General features: G+C 40.7%; 1 protein-coding gene and 1 long non-coding RNA gene across 7 annotated transcripts in view, besides 1 other annotated feature; both read left to right on the top strand.

Moving 5' to 3' along the window:
* The window catches only part of MAGI1 (membrane associated guanylate kinase, WW and PDZ domain containing 1), a 685,393-nt gene that overhangs the window by 240,616 nt on the left and 419,216 nt on the right, over nucleotides 1-25,561 (top strand). The window lies entirely within an intron of this gene.
* Nucleotides 7,082-7,254: a silencer, noted in NCBI's record as "fragment chr3:65776724-65776896 (GRCh37/hg19 assembly coordinates)". NCBI's record gives its function as "represses an EF-1alpha promoter that drives an FKBP-Casp9 reporter gene in an ReSE screen in HepG2 liver carcinoma cells {active_cell/tissue: HepG2}" and the evidence as "EXISTENCE:reporter gene assay evidence [ECO:0000049][PMID:32094911]".
* The window catches only part of LOC107986018 (uncharacterized), a 63,442-nt gene continuing 53,571 nt past the window's right edge, over nucleotides 15,691-25,561 (top strand). The window contains exon 1 of the long non-coding RNA XR_001740441.2: nucleotides 15,691-16,975. This is a non-coding gene — a long non-coding RNA (uncharacterized LOC107986018). The remainder of the gene's footprint in view (nucleotides 16,976-25,561) is intronic.

Here is a 25,561-nt window from a genome sequence, read left to right as displayed (position 1 = left end):
AGATGGAGTCTCGCTTTGTTGCCCAGGCTGGAGTGCAGTGGTGTGATCTCGGCTCACGGCAAGCTCCGTCTCCCGGGTTCAAGTGATTCTCTTTTCTAAGCCTCCCAAGTAGCTGGGATTACAGGCACACCCCACCATGCCCAGCTAATTTTTGTATTTTTAGTAGAGACAGGGTTTCACCATGTTGGCCAGGATGGTCTCCATCTCTTGACCTCGTGATCTGCCTGCCTTGGCCTCCCAAAGTGCTGGGATGACAGGTGTGAGCCACTGCACCAGGCCAAGGCTATGTTTTTAAGGTGAAGAATTGAAGATGCATTTTAGAAATGAGACAAACTATATTCCTTTCAAGGGCTGTTGCTCCATAGCTGTAATGCCCATAAACAGTACAGCACAGTCCAATCCAAGGTTACGCTTAGATTTGAGTGTATCCTTAGATGACAAAACTTCCCAACATACATTGAATAATCTCCACTAGAAATCTGTGTTATTTTTCCTGTCCGTGCTCTGGATTCTTCAAAGTTCTTAAATATTAATATTGGTTAAAATATTAGTATTTATAGAAACTAGATTTCTGTTTTCTTTTTTTTGAGACTGGGTCTCACTGTGTTGCTCAAGCTGGAGTGCAGTGGTGTGATCATGGCCTACTGCAGCTTCGAACTCCAAGGCTCAGGTGATCACCTGACCTCAGTCTCCCAGGTAGCTGGGATTACAGGCCTTTGCCACCACACCAGGCTAATTTTCTTGTAGAGATGGGGTTTTGCCATGTTGCCCAGGCTGGTCTCGAACTCTGGGGCTCAAGCCGTCTGCATGGCTCGACTGCTCAAAGTACTGGGATTACAAGTATGAGCCAGTGTGCCTGGCCGGTTTCTGTTTTCTTTCTTCTCATTTTAAATCTATTTAATCAGAAGCAGCAGTTGCCATACATAGATCAGAGTAATTAAAAATCTATTCTAGAATAATGTAGTGAGTCATAGACTCTTTACAGGTATCCTGCCCCTATTAAAGCTTCCTTAGATGCATCCTTAATGTTTACTGGGCTAGTGTTTACCTGCCTCCACTCTTTCTTTTGAAAATGTAAGAGACCATTGCAGCTGGATAATGGCTTACATTGTCTGCACTAATTGGACTTGCCTTGTATCTCAGAGACTGAGGACTTTAATATTTTTTTCCAAACACTTAAAAGTGACTAGCAAATAACCACTTGAGCTTCATGTTTAATAGATAATCAGAACTCATGCGGCATAGCTAAGGTTTTCTGGATGAAAAGTAAATGCTGTTGGAAAAAAAAAATACAGATGATTAGTTTCAATCCAAGATCACACCCTTGGAAGATGAGAGAAAGAATGAAAAGTACCTGAAATTTTGTTGGTAACAGAGGAGGCATCCTCAAACTATGGCCCTGAGGCCAAATCTGACCCACAGCCTGTTTCTGTAAATAAAGTTTAGTGGTCACAGCCATTCCCATTTGTCATGTATAGTACAAGGCCGCTTTCCCATGACAGCAACAGAATTGAGAGGTTAGGGTAGAGAGCATATGGTCTGCAATGCCAACAGTATTTACTATCGGCACCTTATTATAGTTGAAATATGCCGACCCCTTGGTTAGAGCATTAGGAATAGCATATTATTATTCAGAAGGTTTAGGCATTTAAAAAGATTTAAAGTAAATGAATATAAATACTTTTAATTTTATTTCATGGCAAAACTTATTAATAGCTAACTTGCCCCACATAGATATAGCTGATGTCAGAGACCAACCGCTGTGGGAGCCAGTGTGTCCGTTTCCCCTCATATTTTCTGCTTAGTGACCAAAAGCCCAGCAGAAAAGAGATGAAACAGCAGCTGTAATGGTTAATTTTGTTTGTACTTGGCTAGGCCACGGTACCCAGGTATTTGGTGAAACACCAGTCTGGATGTCGCTGGGAAGGTATTCTTTAGATAAGAATAACGTTTACATTGGTATTAATAGATTCAGAGCAAAGCAGATTACCCTTTCCAATGGGGATTGGCCTCATCAATCAAATCAGTTGAAAGCCTTAAAAGAAAATAGACTTAAAAGAAAATAGCCTTAAAAGACAAAGAAAATAGAGCTCCTGGGAGGAAGAAGGAATTCTGCCTGGAGAGTGTCTTTGCATCAGTTCTTCCCTGGGACCCCGGCCTGTGCCAGCTCTGCAATTTTGGACTCGCCATCCTCCGCAGTCCTGTGAAGCCAATTTCTTTTCTTTTCTTTTCTTTTTTTTTTTTTTTTTTTTGAGACAGAGTCTCAGTCTGTCACCCAGGCTGGAGTGCAGTGGCACGATCTCTGCTCACTGCACCTTCCGCCTCCTGTGGTCAAGCAATTCTTGCGCCTCAGCCTCCTAAGTAGCTGGGATTACAGGTGTGCACTACCACACCTGACTAATTTTTGTGTTTTTAGTAGAGACGGGGTTTCACCATTTTGGCCAGCCTGGTCTTGAACTCCTGACCTCAGGTGATCCACCTGCCTAGGCTTCCCAAAGTGCTGGGATTACAGACATGAGCCATCACACCCCTCGGCCTGACCAATTTCTTAAATCTCTATCTCTCTCTCTCTCTCCGTGTGTGTGTGTGTGTGTGTGTGTGTGTGTATCTTATCATCTTATGGTTCTGTTTCTTTGGAGACCGAAATAGAGCAGGCTTCATTTTAAGTTAAACTTCTTATTCTGAGATAATTGGAGATTTACAAGTAGTTGTAAGAAATACTACAGGGCCATCCAGTGTATCCTTTGCATAATTTCTTCCAATGGTAATATTTTACAAAACCCCTCTCAGTCACTAATATGTTCCCCATCTCTACAATTTTATCATTTCAAGAATGTTATACAAATGGAATGACACAGTATGTAGCCCAGGATTATGGTTTTCATGCAGCGTAGCCACCTGAGGGCGTCATCCAGGTTACTGTGTGTATCAGCAGTTCATTTTTAAAAATTGCTGAGTAGTGTTACATGGTATGGATGAGCCATACTTTTTTTTTAGCCACTCAGCTATTGAAGAAGATCTGTGTTGATGGTAGTTTTGGCTATTACTGATAAAGTTGCTATGAACATTTGTGTATTTCATATGCACATGTTCATAGTGTATGAAATATGCAAATGTTTTTGTGTGTTTGAACATAAATGTCCTTTTCTCATTTAAAAGCACAAGAGAGCAATTGCTGGTCACATGATAGTCACCTGTTTAGTTTTATAAGAAAGTGTCAAACTGTTTTCCGTGACCTCACTAGTGTTTGCTGTCGTCACTGTTTTTGATTTTACCTGTTTTGATAGGTACGTGGTGGTATCTCATTAGCATTAGTCATTTGCGTCGTTGGATAGTGATGTTGCACACATCTTTTCATGTGCTTATTTGCTGTCTGTATATCCTTTGTGGTGAAATGTCTGTTTATATATTTTGCCCATCTTATACCCGGATAGTTTGTGGGTTTTTTTTTTTTTTTTCCTGATGAGGGTTTGTTTTGTTGTGTTTTGTTCAGCTTTTTATTGAACATATTACATAAAAGATTTAGTCAAAAAGACCAAGGCCCATGTCATCGTGGGGCTCCTCAGATTCTCTTTTCTTTGCCCCCTCTTTTTTTCTGAGTGAGGACAGCAGGGTGGAGGGATAGGGTCTCCTGCTGGGGCATCGCTGGTTGTGAGGCAGGTCCCCTAGGCTCTACACAGCAGAGGGGGCTCCTGAGGCTGACATTGGCTAGGCCAGAAAGGTTCACCATTGACACCAGCTGCTTTAATGAGGGTTTTGATTTTCATTCTGTGACTATCACCTCACTGTCCTGCAGAATGAGTGGATGCAGGTGAGCTCAGAGATTGAGGCTGCGTTATGGGTGGGGGCTGGGGAAGTGGCTGCTGGGCGCAGTCTTAGTCACTGGATAAAGAGAAGGCCATACCCCAACAGGTCCTGAGCTTCCTCAGAAGGACCAAATGCCTTAGCAGCAACTGAGGAAAAGGTGCTGTTGAGTTTTGAGAGTTCCTTATGTATTCTAGGTCTCAGTCTTTTGTTGAGTCTGTGGCTTGCAAATGTTTCCTCCCTGCCTGTGGCTTGTATTTTTAGCCTCTTTCCACAGAGCACAAGTTTTAGTTTTGATTAGGTCCAATTTTTGAGTTTTTCCTTTTACGAGAAGGAAAATGGCCATTCCAGATCTTCTGGCAATGGCTTGCGTCTCATCCTTTTAGTGTTACTGCTGTCTTCTAGCCTTAGGGTGTGGTCCAGGTCGAGTCGTGTTCTGTATTGTGGTAGCGCAATAAATCACAGATATGGTGGCTGTCTTGCTCCGAGGAAAAAGGAAGGCAGTGGGTTTGACATAAAGACAGCAGGTTTACAGTGGTTAGTCATCAATTGAGAATGTTGTATAACTTCTTAGACAACAGAAACTTTACGCAGCATCTGTATCTACAAAGAACCAGCATCAAATAGCAGAAAATTGAGTTGTTTTTGTCTATATGATGTTGGTGCAGAGATATAGCTGTGCAATATATTTTCTTGATCTATTCCTTAACTGGATTCTCCTTCAGAGTTGGGAGAAGGTAAACTGAAAGGAGAGACTAGTGGACAGACTGTCCTGGAAATGCAGTCCTCCCAGACAGATGCAGACCTGCAGCTGCTCCACCCAGGCCAGCAGTTGCAGGCATTTTCGCAGCTGCTTTCATCAGTATCTCAACTCAGATTCTTAGGCTCAACCCTTGAAGTGAGCTCAATGGTTATTCTAATTCTTTAATTTATCCAGAGTATCTCTCAACTGCTTATAAATACTTTGAAGATTAAAGCTCCCAGCTCCATGCCTCAGTTATATTGCTTTTCTTCTCAGTAAAAGGTAAGGGTTTGGATAATTTCTAAGTTCCTGTTCTCCTTTGGCATTTCTGAGATCCTGGGATTCACAGTGGAAAGTAATTGGTTTAATTGCCCCAGACTCTGTGAATGAGAGTTCATCTCACTAGCTATCATTGTTTACAGTTGACCAACATGTAGATCTTTTGCCAGGGCCTGAATAATCTTATGAAAAGTTGTCACAGATAGATTCATTCTGTATTCCATCTATCCTGGCTAAACTGGCTAAGCCCTGAGAGCGCCAGCATGGTGCACACCTGATAATGTGATGAAGCCCTGCCAGCAATTTCCACCTTGATTCCTTGTGCCTTCCAACATCCCTGTCTTCCCAAGCATGACTTCTTCAGAGACAGTTCTCAAAAAGTTTCTTAGCAATAAAAGAAATACATTCAACTTAGCTGGTGGATGAGACTTATCTCTAGGGTCAGAATTCAGCCTTATGAGTAACCAGTTTTCCAAACTCAAATGCCCTATTTCTCCTACTTTGGTGTGCATGAGACTCCCTGAGAGAGACTTAAAATGCAAAAACCAGGCTCTTACCTTGGAGGTTGTGATTTATAGTAGCGCCTGCCCTCCCCCGCGCCAATCCATGGTTTTGCTTTCCGTGGTGTCAGTTATACACGGTCAACTGTGGTCTGAAAATATCCAATGGAAATTTTCAGAAATAAACAATTCATAAGTTTTAAACTGCATGTGGTTCTGAGTAGTGTAATGAACCTTGAGTCATTTTACTAGATTCTCCCTGGAACGTGAATCCTCCCATTGTCCATCGGACCCATGCTGTATACGCCACTTCCCTGTTAGCCACTTAGTAGCTGATCAGATCAGGTGGGACAGTATCCTAGTGCTTATGTTCAAGGAATCCTTATTTTACTTTTATTATATTGTTATAGCTAGCTATATAGCTAGCTATAACAATATATTATTAGCTATTCTATTAGTTTTAATAAAAAACTGTATTAGTTTAAAATAGTTATTAGTAACTACTATTATTATCATCGTTTGAGAGAGTCTTACTCTGTCACCCAGGGTGGAGTGCATGATCTTCGCTCACTGCAACCTCCTCCTCCTTGGTTCAAGCAATTCTCCTGCCTCAGCCTCCCGAGTAGCTGGGATTACAGGTGTGTACCACCACACCCGGCTAATTTTTGTATTTTTAGTAGAGACGGGGTTTCACCATGTTGGCCAGGCTGGTTTTGAACTCCTGACCTCAAATGATCCTCTCGCCTCAGCTTCCCAAAGTGCTGGGATGATAGGCATGAGCCACTGCTTCTGGCTTGCTATTAATTATTAATGGCTATTTTATTAGTTTTCTATTAATAGCTATTTTATTAATAGCTATATTATGATTAGCTATTGTTATTAATCTCTTGTTGTGCCTAATTTATAAATTGATTTTTTTATCAGAAGTATGTATGTATGTATGTATAGAAAAAAAATACGTAGACTTGGGTATTATTCATGGTTTCAGGCATTCACTGGGGTTCTTGGAATGTTTTCTGGGCAGATAAGGGAGAACTAGTGTAAAAGGATTTGGATGGGGCTAAGATCTGTGTTTTGAAAAGGCACCTGAAGGCAATTGCATTGCCTGTGGTCCCAGCTCAGACTGTCCTTTTGAAAAAGCCTTAAAGAAACACCCAGAACATTTATCTATATATTTGAATGTTTTTCTGCTATGGAAGTAATATATATTCAACGTAGAAAATTTGGCAAATGGAAAAACACACACACACACAAAACAGAGTAAACACTACCCATAAGCTACCAATAAGAACGTTTACCTCCTCATTAATTTAATTTGGGATGGAGGATAGCATATGGTATTGATTTCATTTCTGTGACCATCCTCCACCTCTTCCTGCCTTCTCTCCCATTCTTTTATTCATTTTCTTTGTCTCCTCCCTCCCTTTCTCTTTTCTGTGTTTAAAATATGTAACTGTATACCCTCCAGTATAATAAATATTCTCATTTGTAGCCTTCTTCCATGTAATGTCCCTTAAATATTTTCTAATATTAGTATTTTTTCAGCAGTGTGCTTTTGAATGTCTATCGTGGTATCAGCAGGCTGTAGGCTTAAGAATATTCTTAACCAAGGTTGATTGAATTCATAGATGTGGAACTCATGGATACGAAGGGCTGACTGTACCTAGAATTTGTGTCTTCATTGTCTGATGCGCCCCTCTTGGGTTTTTCAGCTTCGAAGGAGGAGAGTGTGTGTTCTTCCCACGCAGGCTGGGTCTGCACCAGTCATTGGCTTGGAGCGAAGAGAGGTTGGCAGTAATGGAGGCATGGACAGCACGCGCTGTGTGGGGTGTCTGTTTTAAAAGAATTGCACGTATAAAGCATGTTGATTTGCACATTCTTTATTTTTATTTTAAGGTTTTTTTTTGAGGAGTCTTGCTTTGTTGCCCAGGCTGGAGTGCAGTGATGCGACCTTGGCTTACTGCAACCTCCGCTTCCTGGGCTCAAGTGATTCTCCTGTCTCAACCTCTCCAGTAGCTGGGATTACAGGCGCATGCCACCACACCCAGGTAATTTTTGTATTTTTAGTAGAAATGGGATTTTACCATGTTGGCCAGGCTGGTCTTGAACTCCTGACCTCAAGTGATCTGCCTGCCTTGGCCTCCCAAAGTGCTGGGATTACAGGCATGAGTCACCGTGCCAGCCTGCACAATCTTCGTTGTACCAGCCTTGTACAACTATAGAACCGAAAAGCACAAGCATGTTCCCCCGCGAGGCTGAGGTTGTTAGCTGAAATGTCATGATGCTTTGGGTCTGGGCTACCCCTTTCCCACTTTATTAGCTTGAGCTTGACACTTTTTTCCTCTACAGCTGACTCCAGAGGACTTATAAAATGCTACCTTATCAAGATCTAACTCTGTGTTGTAGGAAAAATAGGCCGTCTTTTTGTCTTCTGCCTAACCATTCAAGAGCATTAACCCTTAAAATGGCCATCTAATTTGGCTTTTAGTAAAAGGAGAAGGACCATTACTGGACTTCAAAGGGGTTGGATTAAAAACTTGTGGAGTCTAGGTTAATAAAAGATTTATTTAGGCAGAGCTTTGCTGGACAACTATTTTGCAAGGAGGCCTCAGTGGACTTCCATGTCTTTTTTGTTCTTTCCTTCCCAATTATGTGAACTGTTGTAATTAAGAAGGCAATAGGATCAGAAGGTCAAACAAATCGTTTTATCTTTTATTTTCCTTTTTTCTCACTATGGGCCAGTGGTCTTATAGTTCTTTTTAATTTTAAGTATTGCATCTTGGCTTTTAAACGTTGGGTTTATTTCGTGAAATCGGGGTAAGCGTAAACTTGCCTAGCCTGTTAAGCACATATACAACTAGTTTTCTTCCCAAGTAGTTGTTGGCTTTTTAAAAAGAAAATCTTTCTGTTAGACATCTTTAGTTAGGTCTGTAAGTTTTGAAGTAAAAGACATGCAATACATTTAATACGTTAATAATCATTACTGATTCTGCTTATAATGTTTCTGATCCTGAGCACTCTGGGCAAGAGCTTTATCTCATGGACTATGAGATTTTTGTTTGTGTGCAGAATGCTTCCTTTTTGTGGAAAACAGAACAAAGACAGGAAAATTTGTCCAAATTATTGAGATTGCATATTGCTCAAGGACTTTTGAAAAGGAAACTTTTTTTGTTTCTGTTTTTGTTTTGTTTTTTTCTAGGGAGTCCTCCATAAACCCCACCTAGTGCTCATCAGTTTTAGGTCCCTAATTGCAGCCATAGGGCCGTGGGCGAGGGAGATCCCGGCTAAATCAGCCACTTTACGTGCTTCGGTTCTGTCCTTTAATACTTAAAGTGGCTCAGTAAGTTTGGGCTCAGAGACTTGGATTTTATTTCTGAATTTTCCTTAGACTGGCCAATTAACTTTAACTTACCTAACTTCTCTGGTGATCATCTGCCTCAAGTGTAAAATGGGAATTGGCTAAAGGATTAAATGATACTCAGTAATGTTTGGAACTGAGGGGCCTTATAGCCAAGCAAAATGTTCCTTGTCCTGGAACTGTAGAATGTAGTGGGGAGATTTCAGGGTCTATGCCATTCTCTTGGCCACCCCGGTATGATTTTCAAGGGCTTTTATTACAGCCTAGAGGAGCTCTTGACTGGGGAACGTTAAGCATCCTTTGGGAGTGGTGGGGGTGGGAAGAATACCACAGGACTGGTGGCACTATCTTACTACTTTATGTACTTGCTTTCCTTTCTTCCCCACTGACTGGACATTTTGGTCATTATTTATTTATTATCATTTGTTTGTTATTTTTTTAGAGATAGAGTTTTACTCCCACCCAGGCTGGAGTGCAGTGGTGCGATCATAGCTCACTATAGCCTCCACCTCCTAGGCCCCAGCAATCCTCCCGCCTTAGCCTCCTCAGTAACTGGGACTACGGGTGGGTGTCGCCAAGCCTGGCTAATGTTTTACATTTTTTTTGTAGAGATGGGGTCTCACTATGTTGCTCAGGCTGGTCTTGAACTCCTGGCCGCAACGGATTCTCCTGGATTGGCCTCCCAAAACACTGGGATTATAGGCAAAAGTCACCATACCTGGCCTCATTATTTATTTTTAATTTTTTGTTTGTTGTGTGAGCTTGGGGCTTTGGGAATAAATAAACTTCTCTAAATTTTCCTTGTGTTTTCACTGAGCAACTCCCACACATAATGGTTGATTTATGGCTAGTATTGAGCTAATATTATTTTCCTTTGAGGCTGCCTCATTTCTCTGAACACTGATTTATTTAATGCTTTCTGAGACACTTCAGTTTGGTGTGGGTCACAATAAACAGAATGCAAACTGGAAGTAATTTAGAGTGAGCTACCGTAGAGATGATTTTATTGCCACAGAGGGTCTTGAGTGCAAGCCAAACTTTGAACTGTGAGCAGACCTCTGCAACGCAGCTGGTGATGGGGTGTGTTAGGATTGAACTTGGGCATAGAACTGCAAGAGCAGTTCCCTAGAATAGCTTGAAATGAATAATCTAAAATGCATAGGGGAAAGTGGTCATAATGTAGGTACATACTAGCCACTGGCTTCCAGAAGGAAGCAGCTGTTATGGTGGCAAGTAAATGATGTTTGGAATTAGACCAGAGTTCTGTTCCTGAGTTCAAGACCTTGGCTAGTCCATTCTCCTTTAAATAAAAATTATTATTTGTAAGATTGGGATGAGAAAGCGTGTGGGATCATTGTGTGATTCCCAGGACAAACTGCATTTGAAAAACATTCGAAAAACCTTCAAGCACTTGTAACATATGTGTGACTTGCTAGTCCTGCCCTCATGGGCTTTTGGAGATTTTTTCATCATTGTTTTATGTGAGTTTACTTGGGCACAGTTGAGTTTCAATTTATGTTAATTACTTCTGAGACTTCTGGTTTGACCTCAAGGAAACCTAGAAAGGTCTAGTAAAAGTGGGGGAAGAGGAAAAATGCAACCTGTAACTTTGCAGGCCATTGCAGGGATGACTCCCTAAGGATCAAGACTAAATAAACTTTTTTCTTGATTGGCTCATGCTTACTTTCTTAACCCCGTCACTTTCCATGCTTGGTTTCAACCATCCTGAGCTCTCTCTTACTTCTTGAACTTGCTGAGCTATCATGTCTTCAGTCCTTGGCACAGGCTATTATTTTCTGAGAAATATGCCTTTCTCCCCATATTTTAACGGCTCCTAACATTCAGCGGTGTTATCATATCCATTTATAGTTATTTTTAACCACCCAAGGCTAATTAGATGTTCAACCCCTGTGTTCCCATAACACCATGAACTTGTCCCTGACAGTCTACTCTGTTTTATTATTGCTCATTTATTTGTCCATCTGGCCTACCAGGCGGTGCAGTCCCAGAGGGCAGGGAATGTGCCCTGCTTGCTGTTATATTTCCAGCATCTAGTATAGCCCTCAGTTACACGGAGTAATTTTGAGGAATATGAGTGAATGATGTGTGAGAGTTAGTTCCCTTGTCACTCAAACACAATGTGTTTTGGCATTCTATTTAAAGTTTCTGGGCTGCCTAGAACCGACTAAACATAACATCTTTGTTTTGACAGTAGACTGTTCACTAAAAAAACGGCAGAGGAAGACTTTTCAAGTTGAGTTTATCATTTGGTGATCCGGTTTCTTTTATACTATGTTGCTATGAAAATGCTCCAGTGGCTTATAAACTCGAGGTGTCTTAAAGATGACCGGGCCCTGTGTCTGTAAAAGCTCATCCTTCACCCATTCATCACATCCCAAATGAAAAACCTTTCAGAGATTGCCTTTCCATGCCTAACTTTTGTTGTGACTGAGCTTAGAGTAAAAGTTTTTGTAACTGAATGTGGCTTCTGGGGAGGAAATAGGGGCAGTTTTATTGTTGTTCCATAAATTAGTCTGATGTCAGACCCCTTGAAACATGAGATAGGAGAAGAATCTGGTTTCCTCTAATGAAATGTTGTGTGCTTGTGGCTTAGTAAGAGGTGCATTGATGGAAAAACATTAAGTAGGAATACAAAAGGTAACACAATGAGAGAGATGTGTTGGTCAGCATTAAAAGATTCTTGGGGTCTTGCGCGGTGGCTCACACCTGTAATCCCAGTACTTTGGGAGGCCGAGGCGGGCGGATCACGAGGTCAGGAAATCGAGAACATCCTGGCTAACACGGTGAAATCCCGTCTCTACTAAAAATACAAAAACAAAATTAGCCAGGCGTGGTGGCGGGCGCCTGTAGTCCCAGCTACTAGGGAGGCTGAGGCAGGAGAATGGCGTGAACCCGGGAGGCAGAGCTTGCAGTGAGCGGAGATCGTGCCACTGCACTCCAGCCTGGGTGACAAAGCAAGACTCTGTTTAAGAAAAAAAAAAAAAAAAAAATTCTTGGGCCAGGCGTGGTGTCTCATGCTAGTAATCCCAGCACTCTTGGAGGCTGAGGTGGTAGGATTGCTTAAGCCCAGGAGTTCAAGACCAGGCAACATGGGGAAACCCTGTCTCTACAAAAAATACAGTAAGTTAGCTGGGTGTGGTGGCGCATGCCTGTAGACCCAGCTGCTTGGGAAGCCGAGGTGGGAGGATCACTTGAGACTAGGAGGTTGAGGCTGCAGTGAGCTGTGATCATGTCATTGCATGCCAGCCTGGGTGACACTTCAGTTTGGTGTGGGTCTCAATACACAGAATGCAAACTGGAAGTAATTCAGAGTTGTTGATTTCAAGGCAAAAAAAAAAAAAAAAAAAGTTATGATTGGCTGGGCGTGGTAATCCCAGCACTTTGGGAGGAAAAGGTGGCCAGATCACCTGAGGTTAGAAGTTCGAGACCAGCCTGGCCAACAAGGCGAAATCCCATCTCTACTAAAAATATAAAAATTAGCCGGGTGTGATGGTAGGCGTCTATAATCCCAGCTACTCGGGAGGCTGAGGCAGGAGAATCACTTGAATCCAGGAGGCAGAGGTTGCAGCAGTGAGCAGAGGTTGCAGTGAGCCCTGATTGCACCACTGCACTCCAGCCTGAGTGACAGAGCGAGACTCCGTTTCAAGAAAAAAAAAAAAAAAGTTAAGATGACAGCAGGAATAAGGGGGAGGTCGGGAAGGATTCATGGCCTAAAAAATTACACTTGATTTCACACAATGTCTCTGTGAACTTGTTTCAGAGATAGTTATTCAGTGAAATGATTGTGATGTTTGGTATGGGTGAAAAGAAATATTTTGATGTAGTCTCCAAGGTAGGTGAAATTTTTTCTGAAATTTAAGAAATGTTGATTTCACTCATTCATTCATTTATCTCATTCATTTAATAAATATTTATGGAGTGCCAATTATGCTAGACATGGTTCCAGGTGCTAGAGATAGAACAGAGAACCAGAGACCACGTATTTATAACATGTTTCATTTCCTGTGATGATTTATATTATCTCACTGAATTTTATCCTAAACAAATAAGTTTGTATAACCTCTTGTATGACAAGAAGTGAAGGAAATGAATGCAGTGCAACATTATCCGTAGTTTCTGTTACTGAAGTTTAATTTTAAACATTTACTTTTTATCTGTGTATAAGTCATGATTTTTCAACCTGTCACCAACCTTGGTGACACTATTGTCTTTAATGTGTTGTATGAAACATACTAATACCTCATTCCGTCCAAGAAAAGGGGGAAGAATGAAATCAAATTGGTAAATAGGACCCCTGTATGTTAGACACTCGGTTTTCTGTAGCTGTGAGGAAAGCGCCCTCTTGTGGTTATATATGCTTCTCCTACAAATACTTCTTAAAACACCTACTTCCTTAAATAAAAATTACTTAGTAAGTAACTCATGAATACATATGGGATACAGAAGTTAAATCACATTTTAAATAGCGGTATTGAGATATAACTAATATGTCATACAATTTATTCATGTAACATGTACAATTTAGTATTTTTAATAGATACACAGCGTGTGCGACTATCAGTATAATCTAATTTTAGAACATTTCTGCCCTCTCCAAAAGGAATCCTATATCCATTAGTAGTCATTTCCTTCTCTGCCCTCCACCGCCACCCTCTCAAGCCCTAGGTAGCCACAAATCTCTTACAGATTTGCCTATTCTGGACATTTCATCTAAAGGGCATTGTAAAGTATGTGGTCTTTTGTGATGTGCTACTCCACCTTATCTTGTTTCAGGATTCATCCATGTTGTAGCATGCATCAGTGCTTCATTTCTTCTTCCCAAATATTATTCCGTGGTTTGACTATACCACATTTTTTTTTTTCTTTTCTTTTTGTTGTTGTTGTTGTTGTTGTTGAGACGGAGTCTCGCTCTGTCGCCCAGGCTGGAGTGCAGTGGCGCGATCTCGGCTCACTGCAAGCTCCGCCTTCTTGGTTCACGCCATTCTCCTGCCTCAGCCTCCCGAGTAGCTGGGACTACAGGCGCCCGTCACCGCGCCCAGCTAATTTTTTGTATTTTTAGTAGAGACAGGGTTTCACCGTGATCTTCATCTCCTGACCTCGTGATTCGCCTGCCTCGGCCTCCCAAAGTGCTGGGATTACAGGCGTGAGCCAACGCTCCTGGCCCTACCACATGTTTTTTATCCAGTCATCAGTTGATAGGCATCTGGGTTGTTTCCACTTTTTGACCTCTTATGAGTAATACTGCTATGAATATCCACGTACTAGTTTCTGTGTGGACATATGTTTTCATTTCTCTTGTATGCATACCTAGAGTGGGATTGCTCCTAGGAATGTGGTAACTCCATGTTTAGCTTTTTGAAGAACTCCCAGACTGTTTTCCAAAGTGGCTGTACTATTTTGCATTCCTACCAGCAATGATGAGGGTTCCAATTTCTCTGTGTGCTCATTACTCCTTGTTATTGCACCTTTTTTTTTTGAGATGGAGTCTCACTCTGTTGCCCAGGCTGGAGTGCAATGGCACAATCTCAGGTCACTGCAACCTCCACCTCCCAGGTTCAAGGGATTCTCCTGCCTCAGCCTCCTGAGTAGCTGGGATTACAGGTGCCTGCCACGATGCTCAGCTAATTTTTGTATTTTTAGTAGAGATGGGGTTTCACTGTGTTGGTCAGGCTGGTCTCGAACTCCTGACCTCAGGTGGTCCATCTGCCTCGGCCTCCCAAAGTGCTGGGATTACAGGCAAGGGCCACCACACCTGGCCTGCACTTTTTTTAAAATTAATTTTTTTTTTTTTTTTTGGTACAGGCTGGGTGTGGTGGCTCACACCTGTAATCTCAGCACTTTGAGAGGCTGAGGTGGGCAGATTGCTTGAGCCGTGGAGTTTGAGGCCAGCCTGGGCAACGTGGCAAAACCCCATCACTACTGAAAATACAAAAAAAATTAGCTGGGCATGGTGATGCACGCCTGAAGTCCCAGCCACTCGGGGAGGCTGAGGTGGGAGGATTGCTTGAGCCAAGGAGATTGAGGCTGCAGTGAGCTCTGATCGTGCCACTGCACTCCAGCCTGGGTGGTGACAGAGTGAGACCCTGTCTCAAGACAAATTTTTTTTTTTTCTTTCTGGAGACAGAGTCTCATTATGTTGTCCAGGCTTGTCTTGATCTCCTGGCCTCAAACAATCCTCCCACCTGCCCTCTCAAAGTGTTCGGATTACAGGCGTGAGCCCCTGTGCCTTGCCTTATTTTGCCTTTTTGATTGTAGCCATCCTAGTGGGTGTGAAGCGGTGTCTTGTGGTTTTGATTTACATTTCACTATTGTGTAATGATGCTGAGCATGTGCTTCTGAGCTTATTGGTCCCTTGTATGCCTTCTTTAAAGAAATATCTGTTAAAATATTTGTCCTATTCTTTCTTTTTGTTGTTGAATTGTAAGAGTTGTTTTTTTTTAATACATTCTGCACACTGGACACTTATTAGATATGTGATTTGTAAATATTTCCCCCAGTAGGTTGCCTTTTCACTTTCTTGATGGTGTTGTTTGCAACACCAAAGTTTTTCATTTTGATGTCATCCAACTTCTCTTTTTTCTTCTTTTTTTTGTTGTTGTTGTTTTGTTTTTAAAGGTGCTTTGGGATTATATCTAAGAAACCATTGCTTAACTCAAGGTCATGAAATTGATTTTTCTCTTTTTTTTTTTTTAAGAGTTTAATAATTTAGCTCTTACATTTAGGCTTCTGATCTGTGAAATGACTTTTCACAGATGGCCCAGTACTAATAGTGTCTGGCTCAAAGGTTGTGAGGACTTAATAAGATAACACTTATATTGCAAACATATTAAAAGCTCAGTAGATGTTAACTGTTGTAGGTATTACACCTGAAAACAAATCAACTTGACTAAACAGAGTCCTTCAGTATATTATGTTTATACCTAAGCTACAGTGTTGAAAAATGAACCTTTCATCTAACTTTTTTTTTTTTTTTTTTTTTTTTTTTGCTTAAGAAATCCATATACTTTAAAAAATAGTTTTTATTCTCCTTTGGTCCAGAAGGGTTAGGAACAATAACTCAGTAGTTACTTCCTGTATTAGTTTCTTATTTGCTGCTGTAACACTTTTTCACAAAGTGAGTGCCTTAACACACATGTACTTATTATCTTACAGTTCTGACTGGTGATGCTGGGCTAAAACCAAGTTGTCACAGGGCTGTGTTCCCTTCCTAAGGCTTTATGGGAGAATCTGTTTCCTTGACTTTTCCAACCTAAGGACATTCCTTTCCTCCATCTTCAAAGCCTGCTAGCAACGTTGTATCCTTCTGTGCCATTCATCTACAGTCTTATCTTTTACAGATGCTTATGATTATATTGGGCCCACCCAGATAATCCTATTTAAAGGTCACCATAATTAGTGACCTTAATTCCCCTTTGTCATGTAACATAGTCACAGGTTCTGGGAAGCAGGATGGGGATATCTTTGGGGTGATTATTCTGCCTATTATGCTTACTAATGATAATTTCTACAATCTGTGATTGACAAGTGTTTCCCTTTGATAGTTAGGGTCTCTAGACTTGGGACATGTGATAAATGGACATGAAATGCATGCCATCCCCCAGAATATATGGGAAAGTGAAATCTACCAATCTGCTCAGGAGACCCCTCTGTTTACCAGCGAGTCTGTTTTTACAGAACAATCTTAGGTTTATAGTGAGGGGGGGTTCCCCAGTCAGATGGTTCAGACTTCCACTGACTGACTTCAGGAAAGCTGCCTGTACTCTCTGTGTTTGCGTAGTTGCAGAGTCAGGGTGATGGAGATTAATGAGAGAATCAGTAGAAACCTTTAGCAAATCTCTTCCGTGGTAGCTGTTATTATTATAGATGTTGCCATTATTGGCCAGAAGCTATTTAGGATCTTGTAATGGCCTCTCAGCCATGAGATGAAAACTGAATTATCTATAATACGAGTTTAATGTCAAGTCAATTTCATTATATCTTTGGTCTTTGAAAAGCGGCAGTTGCTATATAATTTGTATAATAATTTTTTAAATGAATCTATTTCTGTGAAACAAACCACTACTGTATTTAGTTTTAAAAAACCTATTCCATGCAGCAAACCACCACGTACGTGTTTATATATAACAAACCTGTACATCCTGCACATGTACTCCGGAACTTAAAAAAAAATCTATCCATTTCCTGATCAAGGTAGATAGGCATTTGCGAAGATGAAACAATCAAATGTTCAGATGATCAAATGGAGCCATTAGCAACTACTGCCTAGCACATGTAAGTATACTCAATGAATGCTGTCAGATATCTTGTATTGTGTCAGTATCTGTTTGGGAAGGCTCTGTGTGCAGGTACTATTCTGTTTTCCATCCGAACTTTTAACTTTTAAATTTTGTTCTTTTTTTTTTTGAGACAGAATCTTGATCTGTCACTCAGGCTGGAGTGCAGTGGCATGATCTTGGCTCTCTGCAGCCTCCGCCTCCCAGATTCCAGCAATTCTCCTGCCTCAGCCTCCTGGGTAGTTGGAATTACAGGCATGAGCCACAACGCCTGGCTAAGTTTTATATTTTTAGTAGAGATGGGGTTTCACTATGTTGGCCAGACTGGTCTGCCTGCCTTGGCCTCCCAATGTGCTAGGATTATAGGCGTGAGCCACCATGCCCAGCCCATCCAAACTTTTAAAAAATACAATATGCAAAGTAGTGAAACATAAAACAGAAAAATCACCCGTAGTCATGGCCCTTACATAGTATACCATAAGCAGTGCAAATCCCTTCTTCTGCCCCATGTGGGCTAGATTCTTTTCCTTCTCATCAACCCCCTTCTGTAACCCATGGTTGATAATGTGGTGGCCATCCTTCCTTAATTTTCCTACGTTTTTTATAATCAAGTCTGCAAATGAGCATAAACTGTATAGGGGGCTTATTCATCTGTTGGATCAAAGTAATGATTTATTTTTAATGTTAAAATTTTTTTTCAAAAATGGATTCTTCACTCAAAGAGGAAACTTTAAGTCAGCTGTTAACCATTTCTGACCCTGTGTAATATTGAGTTTGAGTATTGAGACTTTCTGTGAATACATATGCAAGTTAGCTCTCCAGGGCTCTTCTCTCAATAGTTTTGGACCTCATTGTTAGTCGTTTGAATCTCCTTAGTACTGTGGTTATAGAACTTTTGCTTTAAATCTTCTTCAGTGCTTTTGCAAGTATTTAGGCCAAGTTGGTAATTTCAGAATTAAGCATTGACTGAAATTAATCAGTATATCTTAAGATGACAGCATAGGCTGGGCGTGATGTGTCACTCCTGTAATCCCAGCACTTTGGGAGATTGAAGCGGGGGGATCACTTGAGCCTGGGAGTTTGAGACCAGCCTGGGCAACATGGCAAAACACAGTCACTACAAAAAGTACAAAAATTAGCCAGGGCTGGTGGTGCATACTTGTAGTCCACAGCTACTTAGAAGGCTGAGGTGGGAGGATCACCTGAGCCCACAATGTCCAGGCTGCAGTGAGCCGTAATTGCACCAGTCCACTCCAGCCTGGGCCACAGAGTGAGATGATGTCCCCCCTGCCCTTCCCCCCCCAAAAAATTGATAGCATGTTCTCAGATCTCAGGACCACCCCCTTTTCAAGTTTGTCAAATGTGTTAGGAAACTAAGGACTGTGTTACAAGTGTCATTTTTTTTTCTTTGTTAGTGCTGTTATTTTCATGATAGTAAATGTTCCCATCACATGTAATCGATAACAGGAACTAGCTGGTAAGAAAAAGGTTAGAGTTACTTGCTACTGCTTTTGCTTAACAGCATACTCGTCACTTTCCAAAGATAGATCTTTTTTGGAGACCTTAAGGAATCAAGATCTTTCTCTCCATGGTGCGAATAAAATTCATTAGACTATTAGACTGTTACTTTAAAAGAAGCCTTGTGTTGCCACAGGAGAACTTTTCATCTAAGTAGACTTATAAATCTTTAGTTGAGTTTTTCTGGGAAGGGGCAGAGGCTATCAAATTAGGGGATAAATCTGTCAAGCGATTGTGCAATTCTTGGTCTTAGAAAGTTCTGAGATTCAACTTTACCTTTCTAAAGTTTGCTTTTTAAATCATCTCACAGTTCCTTATGCAAGAACACACAGGCAAAGAAAACTGCATTGCTGGGTTGAAGATGAATTATTTTTGGAAAAAAGTTGAGTGCTTTAGTGTATGGCATCTGATATAGTCCCCTCCCGGCCCTTCTTACCTTGGGCTGAGCCCTTCCAGAAGCAAATTTGGGACTTGCTTGTGTTCTCTTGAGACCAGAATATTCTATTTGTGCACATTTACATGGAGAAGAGGGCCACTCACATTAACGCTGCCAGAGCCCTGGGTGTGATGGAAGAGGTCATACTGGCAGTAATGTGTACTGAAGCGTAAACTTAATAGTGAAGAAAAAAAATGAGTGAGGCTAAGTGGTTATTCCTGTGGAATTCTAGAGCATGACTAAGCAAAGTACAACTTTTGGAAAGTCAAAAAATTTTCATTTTGTGGGTTGCTACAGGGTTTCTTTTCCTATGCACTGGTGACATTTTGGACTGGATAATTCATTGTCTGGGGTTTGGGAGCAGGCAGCTGTTCTGTGTGTTGCAAGTTATTTAGCAGTATCCCTGGTCTCGACCCCTAGATGACACTAGCACCTTCCTAATTGTGATAACCATTAATGTCTCTGGACATCCCCAAATGTCCCCTGGGGGGTATAACTGTCCCTGGTTGAGGACCTCTGGAGTATATTGGAATCTTTGGAAAATTATTAATAGGAACTTGATCCAAGATGCGAGTTGTCTTTTTAAAAGTCATTAAAAGTGAAGACACATTTTGACTGGCTTCAGTCATCTTAGTATTTTTCTGTTTGGCAAATATTAAGAAGTTGGGCAGAAATCTAGAGTCAAAAGCCAGGTAGGTCTAAGTTTGAACTGTGGCTCTTTGACCTGAGTGGTCCTGGCAAGTTGCTTAACTGCTGTTTCCTCACCTGTGCAATTGAAGTCATGGTCCCCATCTTCTGGGTGTGGAGTGAGGACACAGATTGCATATGTAAAGGGCACTATATGGGGCTTGGAATGTGCTGGATATTCAACAAATGTTATCTTCCCTTTGAACCCTTCCTGCATTTCTCAAAAGACTTATTTATTTATTTTTTTTTTTTTTGAGACAGAGTTTCACTCTTGTTGCCCAGGCTGGAATGCAATGGCACTATCTTGGCCCACTGCAACCTCTGCCTCCTGGGTTCAAGCGATTCTCCTGCCTCAGCCTCCCAAGAAGCTGGGATTACAGGCACCCGCCACCATGCCCAGCTAATTTTTGTATTTTCAGTAGAGACAAAGTTTCACCATGTTGGCCAGCCTGATCTTGAACTCCTTACCTCAGGTGATCCGCCAGCCTTGGCCCCCCAAAGTGCTGGGATTACAGGCGTGAGTCACTGCACCTGGCCGAACTTTTCTTTTTAAATTAATATTTTCTTCATTAAGTTAGTGCTGTAAACTGTGTATCACATGGCTGTTGTGGGGCTTTAAAGAATACAGTATCTAAAATGGCCTAATATGATGTATGTACTCATTAAGTATTTGATGTCTGAATAAATGATGCCCACCATATGAATTATTATGCATACCTATTTAATCATGATTTACCACACTCTCTAATAGAACTATAGTAGTGTTAGTTAGGATTATTGATTGTTTACTGCATGCCAGTTTTCTTGCTAAATTTTTTATATAATTTAATTTAATCTTTCACAGAAAACGTATGCAATGGGAACTATGATAATTCCATTTACAAATTGTTCACACGGAGGTCCAGAAATTACACAGCACTGCAGTCAAATAGGTGGGATTTGAAACCAGCTATATACATTTGTTTTCTATCTTTTAGGAGACCGAACATATTTTTCTTTTCCCTTTTCTTTTTCTTTCTTTCTTTCTTTTTTTTTTTTTTTTGTGATAAGAGTCTCACTCTGTTGCCCAGGCTGGAGTGCAGTGGCACAACAATCATGGCTCACTGCAGCCTCAACCTCCCAGGCTCAAGTGATCCTCCCACCTTGGCCTCCCAAAGTGCTGGAATTACAGGTGTAAGCAACCGCACTTTGCCATGAGCACGGTTTTCAAGTCCATTTGGTATTTATGCCAAATATAGTCCCTTTATTTTAGTAAAATGGTGATAATGAACCTGATATTTATTTGTCAGTACTTACTTTTTTTCTTGACACATAGTATTTTCCAGTCATTCGTCTAAGTACATCACAAATGGTGACTAATTTAACCCTCACAGCAACCACTTGATTAGGCACTGTTAGGGTCTCAATTTTATAGATGAGAAAACTGAAGCCCAGAGAGGCTAAGGAACTTCTCTGAGGTCACACAGCTAGTGAGCACATTATCTGTATGTTTGCTTCTCAAAAGTCGAATATTTCCCTTAATAAATATAATTTTAGAATCCAGAAAGTCTTTGAGTTTTCACTGTTTGCGTTTTGTTCATACATTCTTTATCCTTGCACATGCTCACTTACCCTACAGTCCATCTACCCACAGCCTTGGTTGGGCATCTGCTATGTTCCAGGTGCTGTGCTAGGCCCCAGTGCCCTTCAGGGAGATGAAAGATGAAAGCAAGGAGAGGGTAGAAGAAGGTTCCTTGTTGGAACCTGTAGTATAATAGAAATAGGGAGCCCTGTTCAGTGCAGACATAACCAGGGTATGAATGAAGCAGCCAGCGATGGATAGAAACAAAAGTGGCTGAGATGCAGAAAAGTCTGATGGAAGAGATCGAATGACTCTTTGTTCATGAATCACACAAATCACACAAATGTCTTTCAGCTGCTCCAGGCTGGAGGCCTGTGGATTCATGTTTTACATTAAATTCGTGGTTATTCTGTGTGTGTGTTGCGGGGGGAGTACCGTTTTCTGTTGCTGTCATGAATTCTTTTTCATTGGGATGCCTGAAAGCTGGCATTAATTATTGTAGTGGTATGTCTACCCAGAGATTTCCTGCAGCTGCCTGGAAAACCAGATATTCGAGGAGAGCCAGAAAATCACCCCAGATGTGTTCTATTACAGTTTAGAAATCAGCCTGTACAAAACTGATGTCCAATTTATAATTTAATATATTTGACAAGATCTCTTTTTATTATGTGTTTAAATAAGGGTTACCATTTTTAAAAATTGTGTTTCCTGGGACTCAGAGGCTTTGAAAAATTTTTGGAAATATATCTTCCATTCTCTTACCTAATCACTTTTTTTTGACATTAATATTTGTGTGGCCTTTTTAAAAAAACAATTGAGAGTAGGATTTAATTAATGGAATGTAAAACATTCAGAAGCCATAAAAAAAAAAAAAAAGAAACCCAACTATATGCCAGTAGTGTTTCATATAGCAAGTAGTAAAGAATGCTACATTGATTTTTAAAATACTTTCTGCACCACCTATGTAGAAGACAGGAGGATGAGCTATTTCAAAAGGAGTGGCAAAAATTGCAAACTAAGTAGGAAGGACAACAAAAAATTCTTATAGTAATTTATTTGACTAGATTTGGGGCACACTAAGTAAGTACGGGATTTATGGCAAAAATGTTTGTTTAATGTTTTTGTTTTGCAAATAATTTAAATTCATCAAAGAATAATTAGAAACTTTTTTTTTTTTTTTTAAAGACAGGGTCTCACTCTGTGACTGAGGCTGAAGTGCAGTGATGTGATCATGGCTCAGTGCAGCCTCAGCTTCCCAGGTTCAGGTGATCCTCCCACTTCAGCCATTGCATAGCTGGGACTACAGGCATGTGCCACCATGTCCAGCTAATTTTTTATATTTTTGGTAGAGACATGGTTTTGCCATGTTTCCCAGGCTGGTCTTGAACTCCTGGGGCTCAAGCAACCCGCCCACCTCCGCCTCTGAAAATGCTGGGATTACAGGTGTGGGCTACTGTGTTTGACCAGAAACCACTGTTAAAAAGAACTATATAGTATCACCTTTCATAATCATAGTTAATACTTTGGTGTATGTAACTGCACATTTTTTGTCTGCATATCCATTCACATAATGGACTATGTTTTCTTTAAGATGCTTTTTTTTTTTTTTTTTTTTTTTTTTGGCAGAGTGGGTGAGAAGAGAAAAAAACACTTAAAAAAATTTTTTTTTTTTTTCCAGAGAAGGTCTCACTCTGTTGCCCAGGCTGGAGTGCAATGGCACAATCTAGGCTTACTGGAACCTCCAAGTCCTAGGCTCAAATGATACTCCTGCCTCAGTCTCCCAAGTAGCTGATACTACAGGCATGTATGACAATGCCTGGCAAATTTTTTTGTATTTTTTTGTTGAGATGGGGTTTTGCCATGTTGCCCAGGCTGGTCTGAAACTCCTGGACTCAAGGAATCTATCTGTCTTGGCCTCAGAAAGTGCTGGGATTACAGGTGGGAGTCACCACGCCCAGCCTGAAAATACTTTGTTATATTCATAGGATTTCAGAAATTTTAGAATTAAAAAAATGCATTTGAGATCAATCAGTCTGTAGGTTACATTCATGTGGCTCTTTGGGTTGATAAGAATGATGATGATAATAAAAATAGCCAATATTTATTGAGCTCTTATTGTATGCTGGGTACTATGAAATTCATATACATTGTCTTGTTTCACTACTATCCCATGATGTTGACAACATTTTTATCCTAACTTTATAACTGAAGCTTAGAAAGGCTAAGTAATTGACTCATGTAGCTATCAATAGTGAAGACAGAAATCAAAATCTTCTCCCTATTGCCTAAGGCGAGTTAGTGTATCTTAGAACCCCTTGTTAGGCACAGAACATAGGCCCAGTACTAGTTGGCTCTTTGGTTGAATTTCTTGTTTTCCTCTTACTTAAAAATCACTTGTGATCTATATGTTCCATGTACTTGTTCATCACCAAATAGGAAAACATTTTGTGTATGCCATTTCTCTTAGGCAAGCAGATGTGAAATGTCAGGGTTAAGAATGGGTGCACAGTATATCCATAAACTATGTGAACAAAAGCTTGGTAGACTCTGAGTTTTTAGGGGACACAAGCCAACAGGATTATAAGGAAAGTATGAAAGCACTTATTATGAATTCTTTTCCACCAAAACCTGGACATTCAAAATAAGGAGAATTTTGCCCCAGGAAGATTTTGAATATATAACAAACATGGACTTCAGAAACTAATTATCCAAGAGGGATACAGGACACAATTTTTGCTCATTTCAAATACATTTTCAATAAATTCATGGGTGAAAAACATCACAGGAAGATGGTGGAGACAACAGTGGTATTAAGATAAGTATCTTCCACGCCTTTGACAGTAACATCAAAGATGATAACTACCATTTCACCCTGCTCAGGACTTCTTTGCTTGTGTAAAACAGAATTTTGGTTTAGCCGGAATTATATGTCAGTTATAGAAACTCATAACCAGGAAAAGTTTCACCCAATGTTAGAACAAAACCTTATTGTTAGCAATTAATTTTTTTTTTTTTTTAACTAGCCAGTGGATCTGGGGCTATGGAAACAGATGCCCATGTGCCACTTAGTTACTGGGATGGTTAGCATTATGGGAATCTGTAGTGTGTAATTTCTGTAATAAACCTGTTTATCCTTTGGAATTTTTTTCTCTTCCTGTGAAGTTTCCTTCATATCGTTCCCGGGAAGAAATTGTTCTAATTTGTACCTTGTTCAGCAACCACAAGTAACTTGTATTAAAAGGAAAACACAATGAGATATAAAAATTTTAATCTTTATATCGAATTAAAAAAGTCATTAAAATGAAAGACTCAAGTATGATTAAGGCATAAACACTCGAATCAAGGCAGTCTGAGACACAAAGAAAGCAAATTAGAGTACAGTTACATTTTCCTTCTGAATTCACCATGTTCTCCAGAAGGTAGGCTTGTGAACTTCCAGATGATAAACAAGGAGACTGTAACTTAGAATTCCAAGGCATATACATTAGCATCACAGCCAGACAATCCGAGTGATATGGATAGACCTTATGCTAGTGTATTCTGAGTTTACCTACCAGTGATCCCACCCCCACTCTTTTTTGTCTTTTTTTTGAGACAGTGTCTTGCTCTGTTGCATAGGCTGGAGTGCAGTGGCCCCATCATAGCTCACTGCAAACTCCACCTCCCAGGCTCAAGTGATCTTCCTGCCTCAGCCACCTGAGTAGCTGGGACTACAGGCATGCACTGCCATGCCTGACTAATTTTTTAATTTTTTATGGAGATGAGGTTTCACTGTGTTGACTAGACCAGTCTTGAACTCCTGGGCTCAAGTGATCTTCCTGCCTCAGCTTTCCAAAGTGCTTGGATTACAGGTGTGAGCCATGGTGCCCGACCCCCTACTCTTAAGGTTGTTAATCTTTTGGGGGTGTTGGCTGTTGTTTTAATATATTACTCCTACATCATAGTGATTCAGGGTTGGTGAGAACTTGAGAGCTCTTTTTCTACTCTGTCAGGTACTTTTATGAATACTTTACATATATGATTTCATTTATTTCTTACAACAGTCCTGCCAGGCAGGTAGAGTTTTTTTGCCATTTACCAGATGAGGAAACTGGTCCGTGGTAGATCAAAGAGGACGCTGGTGTGAGGTGGAGTCTGTATCTTCACCCAGTTCTGCAGACCTCATGACCTCTGTGCTTCCTGGTAACTTTCATCTGGTAGTCTTTCAATTCTTGCCTCCTCCCATTGCTTCCCCTCCTTAAATTCACATGCTGTTAATTGCTTTCTGTGCATCTTTTCTGTCATTTGTAAATGCAAGAAATTCTCATCAGCCTGTGCAGTAATCAGGAACTGGGTCGTAAAACCAGGTCCCTGGAAACATGTCTTGTCCCAAACTTAGACTC

This window comes from Homo sapiens, chromosome 3 (genome assembly GCF_000001405.40).
Source record: "Homo sapiens chromosome 3, GRCh38.p14 Primary Assembly".
Taxonomy (NCBI): domain Eukaryota; kingdom Metazoa; phylum Chordata; class Mammalia; order Primates; family Hominidae; genus Homo; species Homo sapiens.
Note: the sequence above shows the minus strand (reverse complement) of the source record. Positions and strands in the feature narration are given on the sequence as shown.